Raw genomic sequence first — 13161 nt, forward strand, 5'->3', positions numbered from 1 at the left:
AAATAGGAGGATAACGATACCCAGTGGAAATATTTATCATCATCACTTCTTCCTCAGGTTTGGCAGGGCAGCGATCATCTGTGGGGCCAGGTACGCATACACTCTCATTAACATATACTTCTATAGGATTATCCATCCATGTGACTGCCCAAATTAAGGGCGGGAAAGGCACATATGCCCAGTAGGTATAATTAGCTGCAGCTGCTCCTGCAGGCATAGGGAGACTTACCACCGTTGATACAATCATCAATGCTGCAAGCAGCATACTCTCTGGAGTTTGTGTCATCTTTGTGTTCTCTAGACATTTTGTAGCTAACTGCGTCAGCTTGTTTAGTTGTGCCCAAGTCAGCGGCTCTGCCTTATTGGTGGATGGCAACTTCATCTGTTCTTCTGACATCATCATTTTGTTCATCTTGTGACTCGACGGTGCTCGATTGCGGTGTCTCCGTCTCCGCGGAGGTGCTTTTCTTTGCATCTCCGATGGGTTCATTGTAGAACTTCAAATGTCTAGTGGGTATCCAAACAGGAAGCTGATTTTCTCCTGGTGAAACACAAGCAAAACCTCTTCCCCACGTTATCACCTTCCCTATTTCCCATGTCTTATTTTTATTATCTTTCCACCAAATCAATTTTCCTTCATGTGGGCTGTTCTTTTTACCAGTAAGATGTTGTTCTGCAGAAGTAGTAGTCTGATTTCTATAAATGTTTAAAAAATTTAAAGTATAGAGTGCTAGATTAAGTTGCATCTGAGGAGTGGTACACTCTTTACTGTCTCCCCCTTCTTTTTGTTTAACTAATTGAGTTTTGAGTGTTCTATTAGTTCTTTCAACTATGGCCTGTCCTTGGGAATTATAGGGAATTCCTGTTGTATGTGAAATTTTCCACCGATTTAAGAATCTTTGGAAAGCTTTACTACAATATCCTGGCCCATTGTCAGTTTTGATTTTTTCTGGAACTCCCATTACAGCAAAACAAGATAATAAATGTTTTTTAACATGGGAAGTACTTTCTCCTGTTTCGCAAGCTGCCCATATGAAATGTGAATAAGTATCAACTGTTACATGAACATATGACAATCTTCCAAATGAAGGTACATGCGTGACATCCATTTGCCATAATGCATTAGGACGCAGACCTCTGGGATTAACTCCTGCCTCTTGAGTGGGCAGGTGTAAGACTTGACACTGGGTGCAATGTTGTACAATATCTTTTGCCTGTTTCCATGTGACATCAAATTTGTTTTTTAATCCTGCTGCATTTACATGAGTCAAAGCATGAAGTTCTCATGCTTTTATGAATGCAGATGATACCAGTAAGTCAGCTTGTTCATTTGCTTTAGTCAAAGGCCCTGGTAAATTAGTGTGTGCTCGAATATGAGTAATATAAAATGGGAAATTTCTTTTTCTTACAGTTTGTTGTAATAAATTGAATAGCTGGTTTAACTGATCATCCATGCTATATTTGATTAGAGCTGTCTCAACATCCCTTGTAGCCTGTACTACATATGCAGAATCTGATACAATATTGATAGGTTGATCAAAATCTTGTAACACTGTAATGACTGCAACCAACTCTGCTCTTTGAGCCGATTGATATGGAGTTTTGATTACTCATTCTTTCGGCCCTGTGTAAGCCACTTTTCCATTGCTGGAACCATCAGTAAATACTGTTAGAACATTTTCTAAAAGTTCCCATCTGGTAATTTTAGGTAGAATCCAAGTAGTCAGTTTTAAAAACTGGAAGATTTTTGTTTTCGGGTAATGATTATCAATAATTCCCACAAAATTAGCAAGACCAATCTGCCATGCACCAGAATTGATAAAGGCTTGTCTAATTTGTTCCTTGGTTAAAGGGACAACTATTTTGTCTGGGTCATTTCCACATAATTTTATTATTCATAATCTTGTCTGACCAATTAATGTGGCTATTTGATCCAAGTACAATGTAAAAGTCTTAACTGTACTGTGAGGAAGGAATGACCACTCCACAAGATCAGTATTTTGAATAATGATGCCTGTTGGAGAATGTGCAGTAGCAAAAATCAAAAGTTGGAGTGGGGCTAAGGGATCTGTTCTATTTATTTGCGCTGACTGAATTTTTTCTTCCACTAATTTAATTTCTTTTGTTGCCTCTGGGGTTAACATTCTCTTACTATTTAAGTCTGAGTCTCCTCTTAAGATAGAGAACAAATTTGACATGGCATAAGTAGGAATGCCTAGAGTTGGCCGAATCCAATTAATATCTCCCAGCAATTTTTGAAAATCATTTAGTGTTTTTAATGTGTCTTTTCTTATTTCTATTTTTTGTGGCTTAATTTTTCTATTCTCTATCTGCATCCCTAAATAATGAAAAGGAGTAGAGGTTTGAGTCTTATCAGATGCTATTGCCAGTCCTGCGTTGGCAACCTCTGCTTGCAGAAATGTATAAGTCAATTAATTTATCTCTTGTTTCTGCAGCACACAAAATATCATCAATATAATGAATAACAGTCTGAAAACTTGTCTCTAACTGGTTAAAGAGCACGACCTACAAAAGTCTGACAAATAGTTGGACTATTAAGCATTCCCTGAGGTAACACTTTCCACTGAAACCTGGTGGCTGGTTCTTTATTATTTATGGCTGGTATAGTAAAGGCAAATTTTTCGCAATCCTGCTCCGCCAGAGGGATGGTAAAAAAGCAGTCCTTTAGATCAATTATAATTAAAGGCCAGTCTTTGGGATCATGGCCAGAGAGGGCAATCCGGGTTGGAGAGGCCCCATGGGTTGATTTACGGCATTTACGGCCCTTAAGTCAGTTAACATACACCATTTGCTGGATTTCTTCTGAATTACAAACACAGGAGAATTCCAAGGCGAGAATGAAGGCTCAATATGTCCCTTTTTGAACTGTTCATTTGCTAATGAATGTAAAGCCTCCAGTTTTTGTTTTGGTAGCGGCCACTGATTTACCCATACTGGTTTTTCTGTTTTCCAAGTTAATGGTATGGGTTTAGGAGGCTCTACAGTGGCCGCCCCTAACAAGGATACCCTAATTCCTTCTCTTTCTTGATTTATTTTAGCCTCAACTGGAACTTTAATGCCATCTTCATTTTTTCCTAGTCCCTTTCCTGGTATATATCCCATCTTGGTCATGATTTTTTGACTCGTGGGGCTATATAATGGAGCGGGCATGGTGATTTCCACACCCCATTGTTGTAATAAATCTTGACCCCACAGATTAAGAGGAGTTGAAGTAATCATTGGCTGAACAGTACTTTCTTGATTATCTGGCCCTAAACAATGTAAAATCTCAGTACTTTGATACACTTCTGAGGCTGTGCCTACGCCGACAAGTCCCGTAACAGCCTTTTGTTTAGGCCAATTTTTTGGCCACTGATTTAAAGCAATGATAGAGACATCTGCCCCAGTGTCTACCAACCCTTCAAACTGTTTTCCTTGAATAATGGCCTTACACACAGGTCTGTTCTCTGAGATCTGACTTGCCCAGTATGCAGCCTTTCCTGTTGGAACAGTGCTTCCAAACCCTCCTGTTCTTTTTATCTCACTATTTCCAACCTTAATATAAGGCAGGAGTAAAAATGGAAAAATCCTGTCTCCTGGAGTGGCACTCCAAGGAATTGAAGAGCTAATAACCAATTGAATTTTGCCTTTATAGTCTGAATCAACCACACAAGTATGAATTTGAACTCCCTTTAGATTTATACTTGATCTTCCCAAGATTAGTCCTACAGTACCCTCAGGCAGCAGGCCATATAACCCTGTGGGGATTTTTTGTGGGGGCTCCCCTGGAAGCAGAGAGACTGCTTGTATAGTACATAAATCTACTGCTGCACTGCCACTTGTGGCGGGGGACAATTGTTGTATTGTGGTAACTGGCTTATTCCCTGAGGTACTTGGGACAGTGGGGGTTGTTGTCCCTGAAAACCCTGAGGAACAAAGGGCTGAATTGGGAATGCCCCAGTTTGTTGTGGGGCCTGAGGCTGGCCCCTTTGCTCGTTTCCTGACAATGGTTGCCCATTTCTATCAAATTTAGAATGACATTAACTAGCCCAATGTTTTCCTTTTTTACATCTTGGACATAAGTCTGGTGGCTCTCTACCTGTTGTTGTAGTCGCTTGAATAGTTATATTCTGTTTATTTGAGACTGGGCAATTCTTTTTTAAATGACCAATTTGACCACAATTATAACATTTCCCTCCAAATGTTCTAACTTGTCCTTCTAAAACAACTCCCACTATTGCTTGAGCCATAAGCTTAGCTTTATGCATAGCTCCTCCAATTCCATCACAGGCTTTTACATACTCTGAGATTACATCTGATCCTGTGGAAACCTTTCCTTTTAATGGCTTAATGGCTGATTGACACTCAGGATTGGCGTTTTCGTATGCCATCAACTCCACTATGACCTTACGGGCTTTTTCATCAGCAATTGACTTTTGAGCAACATCTTGGAACCTTGCCACAAAATCAGGGTAGGGCTCTTTCAAACCTTGTCTTACTGTATGAAATGAGGGGCAGGCGGTTCCTGGGTCTTGGATTTTTTCCCAGGCTCTAAGGCAGATAGCTCTAACTTGCTCAATGGCCTCATTTTGCATTAATGCTTGTTGACTAATAGTGCTCCAATTTTGACCTGTTCCTAACAGTTGATCTGCATCTTTGTTAACTGGAGGATTGGCAGCCCTATTTCTTCAGACCTGTTCTTGTGCCCCATCAATCCACCAAGTCTTAAATTGTAAAAATTGAGAGGGTGAGAGAGACGATTTTGCCAGAATCTCCCAATCATAAGGAATGAGTCTATGATGTCCATGAGCAATGGAATCTAATAATGTCCTCATATAAGGGGAGTTGGGTCCATAGTGTTTTACTCCCTCTTTCATATCTTTTAGCATTTTTATCGAAAAAGACTTGTATCTGGCCTCAACTGTGAGAGGCTCTCCCTCTTGGGCTCCTTCTCCAGGTGGTATCGGTTCTAACGTTACTGGGAATTGCCACGCCTCAGTGTCTCCTTCCTTTCTTGACTTATCAATAATTTCATGTAATTCACTACCCTGTCTACTAGGTGGTGCCGTATGATTAAGTCTGCTAGTGGGTGGCTGAGGGTATGGCGCCCTGCCCTGTGGTGCTGGGAGCGTTCCTGGATATCCATACTGACTTTCTGGGGGTGGCCGATACTGAAGTTTGGCCGGTGGCCAGTATTGATAAGCTACTGGTAGTTGGGTCTTATTTTCTCTAACCTGCGTTTGAGGTTGTAATGTTACGGGCATCTGACCTACTGGAAGAGGACTTGGTCCTCGTGGTTTAGACTTTGATGGCCCCACTAATTCTGGACCTTTTCCTTCTAATTTTAATGTTTCAGGATATATCACCCCCTGTAATTGATTGATTATAGTCAACATTTTGCGTTGACTGAGCCATTACTGGCTCTGCTACATATTCGCAATGTAAACTTTCCGTTTCTTTCTGGGATTTTTTCCCTGTCTTGTCTTTACAATCTATTACACAGCTTCCAGGGGCATCAGAAACTGAAACACTATCTTCTTCTCTTTGAAATCGTTCTAAAGCTGCTTTAATAATGGCCCAATCATTCCATACTGTAAGTGGAATGATATTACCCTTCCTACCTGCTTTAGTTCCTTGCCAATTCTTTTCCAGTCTTCTTTTAGATCTAAAGTTCCTTGTTCTGGAAACCATGGGCAAAATTGTTCTATTGTTTGAAATAGCTTGATTAGATTTTTTGTAGATACTCTAACTCCCACTCTTTTTAAAAGAATTTTAATAAAGCTGAGATAAAAGGCATATTTATTTTTAGTTTTCCTTTAATTTGCCCCATTGTCACCCTAGCTTCGTCCGAGCGCACTGTAAGGCTGACTGTAGACGTACTCGGGATCTCTCGTCGACTTGTCCTCAATGACCATGCTCGAGCGTACCTTCACCCTAGAGAAAAGCCCCCACATTGGGCACCAGATGAAGGGGTGGGTTGCCCCTCCACACCTGTGGGTGTTTCTTGTTAGGTAGAACAAGAGACTTGGAAAAGAAAAAGACACAGAGACAAAGTATAGAGAAAGGAATAAGGGGGCCCAGAGGACCAGCATTCAGCATACGGAGGATCCCGCCAGCCTCTGAGTTCCCTTAGTATTTATTGATCATTTTTGGGTGTTTCTCAGAGAGGGGGATGTGGCAGGGTCATAGGATAATAGTGGAGAGAAGGTCAGCAGATAAACAGGTGAACAAAGGTCTCTGCATCATAGACAAGGTAAAGAATTAAGTGCTGTGCTTTAGATATGCATACACATAAACATCTCAATGCCTTACAGAGCAGTATTGTTGCCCACATGTCCCACCTCCAGCCCTAAGGCGGTTTTCCCCTATCTCAGTAGATGGAACATACAATTGGGTTTTATACCGAGACATTCCATTGCCCAGGGACAGGCAGGAGACAGATGCCTTCCTCTTGTCTCAACTGCAAAGAGGCATGCCTTCCTCTTATACTAATCCTCCTCAGCACAGACCCTTTACGGGTGTCGAGCTGCGGGACGGTCAGGTCTTTCCCTTCCCACGAGGCCATATTTCAGACTATCACATGGGGAGAAACCTTGGACAATACCTGGCTTTCCTAGGCAGAGGTCCCTGTGGCCTTCTGCAGTGTTTGTATCCCTGGGTAGTTGAGATTAGGGCGTGGTGATGACTCTTAAGGAGCATGCTGCCTTCAAGCATCTGTTTAACAAAGCACATCCTGCACAGCCCTTAATCCATTTAACCCTGAGTTGACACAGCATGTGTTTCAGAGAGCCTGGGGTTGGGGGTAAGGTTATAGATTAACAGCATCTCAAGGCAGAAGAATTTTTCTTAATACAGAACAAAATGGAGTCTCCTATGTCTGCTTCTTTCTATACAGACACAGTAACAATCTGATCTCTCTTTCTTTTCCCCACAGAATGATACTGAAAGCATCTCAAAAATAAAATCACGAGTATCTGCAGGTAATGCATCAGCATTTTTATTAAGCCCTCTTATTTGAAAGTCACTGCTTTGAACTGGATTGGATGACCCAGTGGCTTGTGTGGGAGTTGGGCTGGAGAAGGTTGATAGTAGGCAAGCTGGTTTTCTCCTGCTGTGATTTTGTTACCTCTGTGGAGTGCTTTTGATTTTTCTTATCAACTGCAGTGACTCAGATGGGTTGACAATCTCTCCAAACAAAATGTGTACTTTTTCTACCCGTGAGTTTGGCCTGGTCCCAGAAATTCACTCTAGACATGTAGAACTATATGATAAGAGAGTTGGAAAAGAGCTCATCTATCTAGTCCAAAACTGTAATGAATTCGTGGGTCATGAAATCTATTTAATGGGTCGTGGCCAACATTTAGAAAATATAGATTAGACCAGAAAAATATCAGAGTTTTGCAATCTTTCATTTCAGCTACATGTGTGTATCACAGTGTGAAATGTTTCTTGCTACCAAACATTTTTGCAAAATACTAATAGTTCTATTCCCATATCTGACAAATGAAAGTAAGGAGCCCAGAAAAGTACTGTTAAGTATTCTATTTAGAGACACCCAGGACATAAATTCAAATGTCCAGACTTCTGGTTTAGTTCTTTTTCCATTTTGGAGATCTGGAATGATACAATAGAAGGAATAGTGAAGGACATAAGTTCAAGTCTGGTGCTTAAAAACTGTATAAAGTGCAAGTTGCTTACTCCATACCCTTCATTATTCTCATTTCTAAAATAAGGTAAATGAAACTGTCCATTTCCTTACTAGATTATTGGAAGAACTACCAAATACAGATAAAGCAAAAAAATGTCCAATGAAAAAATCTGCAAACCTGCTGTGTGTGTGTGTGTGTGTGGTCTTAATATTACTCTTCTATATTCTTTCCCGTAGACAAAATTTTTTATTTTTTTGATTCTTAATTTCTCCTTTTCTTCTACGCTTTAATGTGTTTCTTTATCTTTGAGCATCATCTGGCAATAAACATTTTTTGGTATTTGCCAGAATGCCATAATTTCCAAAGCATTTTCTCACTTGAAAATATTTAAAAATGCACAACAGGTTGAGGAAAATCCAATATACCATAAATATATCCAATATACCATAAATATATGTGTATTTGGGATATTGGATACATACCAAATATACATATATTTATATTTGATATATTGGATTTTAAATATAGTAAATATATGTTATATAAATATAACATATACCTATATAACATATCTGTTAGGTAAATATACCTATAGGTATATAGGTAAATATACCTATAGGTATATAGGTAAATATACCTATAGGTATATAGGTAAATATACCTATAGGTATATAGGTAAATATACCTATAGGTATATAGGTAAATATACCTATAGGTATATAGGTAAATATACCTATAGGTATATAGGTAAATATACCTATAGGTATATAGGTAAATATACCTATAGGTATATAGGTAAATATACCTATAGGTATATAGGTAAATATACCTATAGGTATATAGGTAAATATACCTATAGGTATATAGGTAAATATACCTATAGGTATATAGGTAAATATACCTATAGGTATATAGGTAAATATACCTATAGGTATATAGGTAAATATACCTATAGGTATATAGGTAAATATACCTATAGGTATATAGGTAAATATACCTATAGGTATATAGGTAAATATACCTATAGGTATATAGGTAAATATACCTATAGGTATATAGGTAAATATACCTATAGGTATATAGGTAAATATACCTATAGGTATATAGGTAAATATACCTATAGGTATATAGGTAAATATACCTATAGGTATATAGGTAAATATACCTATAGGTATATAGGTAAATATACCTATAGGTATATAGGTAAATATACCTATAGGTATATAGGTAAATAAATATACCTATAGGTATATTTAGGTATATAGGTATATAGGTATATATACCTATAGGTATATAGGTATATATACCTATAGGTATATAGGTATATTTACCTAACAGATGTGTCATATAGGTATATGTTATATAGGTATATATTATATTTATATAACGCATGTTATATTTATATAATATATGTTATATACGTATATTTACATATACATGTTATATAGGTATATTTATACAACATAATATAATACATATATTTATATAAATATACATGTTATATATGTATATTTACATACACATATATGTTATATAGGTATATTTACATATACATATATATTATACAGCTACATTTAATATATAAATATACCTATATAACATATATGTAATGTAGGTATATTTATACATATATGTTATATAGGTATATAACATGTTATATAGGTAGATTTACATAACATGTTATATAGTTATATTTATATATACATATAATTTTATATGGATATATTTATACATAGGTTATATGGGTATATTTACATATATGTATATATAACATAGGTTATATGGTATATGTAAATATATGGGTATATTTACATGTACAAATATGTACATGTTATATATAGATATGTATTATATATACACGTTATATATGTATATATAACGTGTATATATGTCAATGTATATATGTATACGTATAGATGTATACATATATGTATACATTATCTGGGTAGATTTACAAAACATATATACTATATAGGTATATTTACATATATGTAAATAATACCCATATACCCATAACATGTTATACGTATATATACTATACATATATATTTATATACATGTACATATGTATGTATACATACATATGTATATATGCATATGTAAATATACATATATTTACGCTATACATATATACATCTATACAGGCATATACATGTATATATGTGGATATACATATGTATATACATATATGTACATATAGATGTATGTATATGCATATATATACATGTATGTATATGTACATATATAATATAGGTATATGCATGTATATATGTCTACATATATGTATGTATACATACATATATGTATACATATGCATGTATGTATATGCATATGTATACATGCATACACATGTACACATATGTATACATACATGCATATACCTATATTATATATGTACATATACATACATGTATATATGCATATGTATATACATATGTATACATATATATGCATATGTATATACATATGTATAGACATATATGTATATGCATACATTTATGCATGTACATGTATACACATATATGCATATATATGTATATACATATATATGCATTTATGGATGTATATATGTATAGATATGTCTATGCATGTAAATATATGTATATATGTATGCGTATATATGTATGCATATATATGTATGCATATATACACATGTATATTATATACATGTATATAATATACATATGTATGCATATGTACATATAGCATATATACATATATGTATAACACATGTTATGGGCATATTTACAGACATGGGTATATATAACATATGTTATGGGTATATGGATATTTACATATACATATATGTATATGTAAATATCCATATATGCATATTTAACATGTATGTATATGTAAATATACCTATATAGCATATGTTATGTAAATCCACCCAGATAACATGTTAATATACCCATATAACATGTTTTGTAAGTATACCCATATAACATATATGTATATTTATATAAATATGTAAATATGTGTATATATATTAAATATGTTATATTAAATATGTTATATAAATATACCTACATAACATATACGTATATGTAAATATACCTATATAACATACAGGTATATTTATATAGATATATAAATATACGTACATTGGTATAAATATATATAAATATATAAATATACGTACATTGATATAAATATATAAATGTATAAGTATACGTACATTTATATAAACATAAATGTAGAAATATATAAATGTACATATATTTATATAAAAATGTATACATATATAAATGTGTACATATATTTATATATATAAATGTATATATAAATATATCAATATATGTATAAATATATGTATATTTATATAAATATACATATAAATATATATATTTTTATATAAATATATGTATATAAATATATTTATATAAATATGGAGATGGAATTTTTTTATCTAGTTCTACAATTTCTTAGTTTGTTTTCTAAGTAATTAATATTGATCAAATTGCTTTTGGCAAGATTATTTCTAATCAAATACATCATTATAGTCAACTTGTCATATAGCAATGTCATGTACTCTAAAATCAGTGATTTTCAAAGTCTACACCTGCTCATTTGGTAAATCACCACACCTCCTGATTCCAGTTATCTTCTTCTTCAGATCACTATGAGACTGGACTGGAACATTACCTTCAGGTGTGTTGCTTCGCCTTTGGAGAATGCCATCTGCCAGATATGGGATCAACCTCTTAAGTCTAACATAGCAAAGAATATCCCCCATACCATTTTACTGAAGAAAAACAACAAACAGCAGTTCCTTCCGCCACACTGGGTCTTAGCACATGCAGAGCTGTGGAGTCCTGTCTGTGCACAGAGACAGGCATTGACAGGTGGAGTCAGCTTCTCCACCACTGACATCTTTCCAAGTCAGTGCTGTGCTATGTCTGCAAATGAGAAAGGGGCAGCCTGGATGATGCTATAATTGGCAGTACCAACTCCATGGAAATATTCAGAGGCTTCAGCTGTCATTTTAAAACTGTCCTTCAGGTGGTGCCATGTCAAAGGGAAGGGACCTGCACGACTGCCCAAGGTTCCAGATACCTTAAGAGTTAAGCAGGGATTGGATGCTGGGGTTCCCGTGTTCATTTGCCCCTTTATTCAACTAGTGCTTACTAAGTGCTTAATGCATCCCAAATTATGGAAGGACCTGGGAACATATGTAAGACACTATTCATGCTTTCAAGTTGCTTGTAGTTTAGTCAAGGAGCCAGCTTAGCATCTAAAACCATGCAACCCCAATTTCTAACCACCAGTCAACTCTCCAGTAAGCCTTCTTCATGGTAATGGCCTTTGGGATGGTGGGGCCATAACGTAGGGTTACTTGGGGAAAGCCAGCACCTTGCACACATCTATCCTGCCCTGTCCCTGAAATCCCCCAGATCCATCCACACATCACAAATCTGCTGCTCCATAAAGAAGAGCCTGACATGGGCTTGTGGAGGAAGCAATTGATCAGAAAGATGCTCTTGATCTAATTTTATCTGTTTTTCTGCCATTGCCTCTTTCCAAATTCTTGCCCATGTGGTTTTCTCTTGGTAATCCATGTGGCCCTGGTCCGGGGCCTCCATATCTCTTGTGACTTAAGTTTAGCTCACTCTCCCAATTTTCAGAGTTTCCTGTCTTTTTCAGCTTGTGTTGAGATAACAGCAACTTGAGTATCTCCAGACGTTAATACTTCCCAATGGGTACCTGTCTTTGGGCTTTATCTCTACTGTCTCTACTCTACATAATTTTAATTGGGTCTAATTTAGAAATATTTTCCTCTATATTTTTACTTTTTATTTTTTATGGCCTCTTGCTTTTTAAAATTTATGGTTATGGCCTGTTTAAGAACTTCTCTACTTTTTACATATTTTCTCACATTTTCACCTCTTTTACAATTTTGCCTCTATTTCAACTGGTATTTATTTTGGCGAATGATAGGAATCAGGGTGGTAGAGTGCCTATAACTTTTTTTCTTCTGCACAGATTGGCAATTAACTCAGGATCATTTCTGGAATGAGCTATCCTTTCTTCAATGATCTAAAATGCCGTCTTTTTCATTTTCTTATTTCTTTTATACATACGGGTCTTCCAGTTCCGTTTCATAGATTACGGCCCTGTGGCTACGGCAAAGCATAGTAACTTTATCATACATTTTCACATCTGTTAAGGCTATTTTCCCCTCTTTGTGTTTTAGTTAGCACATTTATTTTAGTTAGTCAAGTTTTCCCCCAGAAGTATGTTGGGATTTTGAATAGGATTGCACTGAATTTATAGATTGGTTGTAGGCAGGGTTAATACCTTTGTAATATTGGGTTTTTCTTTCTGTAAATGATTTAGATATTTTAATATGACTACATCACCCCCAGCCATATTAATTCCTTTTACGGCCTTATGTCCTTCCTAGCTCTAGTCAGTCCTTTACATTGTGTTATGAATTTGTTCACTTGTTTATTGTCTGTGTCTCCACCTAGAGTGAACACAAAATTTCCAGATTCTAGATCAATGTGTAGAA

The 13161-nt window shown here is 35.8% G+C and overlaps 2 long non-coding RNA genes across 5 annotated transcripts in view, besides 2 other annotated features; one reads left to right on the top strand and one right to left on the bottom strand.

Annotated features, from left to right (window-relative positions):
- LINC00707 (long intergenic non-protein coding RNA 707) overlaps nucleotides 1–13161 on the top strand; it is a 63309-nt gene that overhangs the window by 47111 nt on the left and 3037 nt on the right. The window contains exons 3-4 of the long non-coding RNA NR_038291.1: nucleotides 6935–6980; nucleotides 11266–11300. This is a non-coding gene — a long non-coding RNA (long intergenic non-protein coding RNA 707). The remainder of the gene's footprint in view (nucleotides 1–6934; nucleotides 6981–11265; nucleotides 11301–13161) is intronic.
- LOC105376387 (uncharacterized) overlaps nucleotides 1–13161 on the bottom strand; it is a 294200-nt gene that overhangs the window by 2439 nt on the left and 278600 nt on the right. For all 4 annotated transcript variants that reach the window (NR_188183.1, NR_188186.1, NR_188184.1 and 1 more), the window contains one exon: nucleotides 230–507. This is a non-coding gene — a long non-coding RNA (uncharacterized LOC105376387). The remainder of the gene's footprint in view (nucleotides 1–229; nucleotides 508–13161) is intronic.
- Nucleotides 6021–6522: an enhancer, noted in NCBI's record as "NANOG-H3K27ac hESC enhancer chr10:6874691-6875192 (GRCh37/hg19 assembly coordinates)". NCBI's record gives its function as "activates a minimal SCP1, AML or CMV promoter by ChIP-STARR-seq in naive H9 embryonic stem cells {active_cell/tissue: H9 hESC(naive)}" and the evidence as "EXISTENCE:reporter gene assay evidence [ECO:0000049][PMID:30033119]".
- Nucleotides 6523–7022: an enhancer, noted in NCBI's record as "NANOG-H3K27ac hESC enhancer chr10:6875193-6875692 (GRCh37/hg19 assembly coordinates)". NCBI's record gives its function as "activates a minimal SCP1, AML or CMV promoter by ChIP-STARR-seq in naive H9 embryonic stem cells {active_cell/tissue: H9 hESC(naive)}" and the evidence as "EXISTENCE:reporter gene assay evidence [ECO:0000049][PMID:30033119]".

This window comes from Homo sapiens, chromosome 10 (assembly GCF_000001405.40).
Source record: "Homo sapiens chromosome 10, GRCh38.p14 Primary Assembly".
In the NCBI taxonomy this organism is placed as follows: Eukaryota; Metazoa; Chordata; class Mammalia; order Primates; family Hominidae; genus Homo; species Homo sapiens.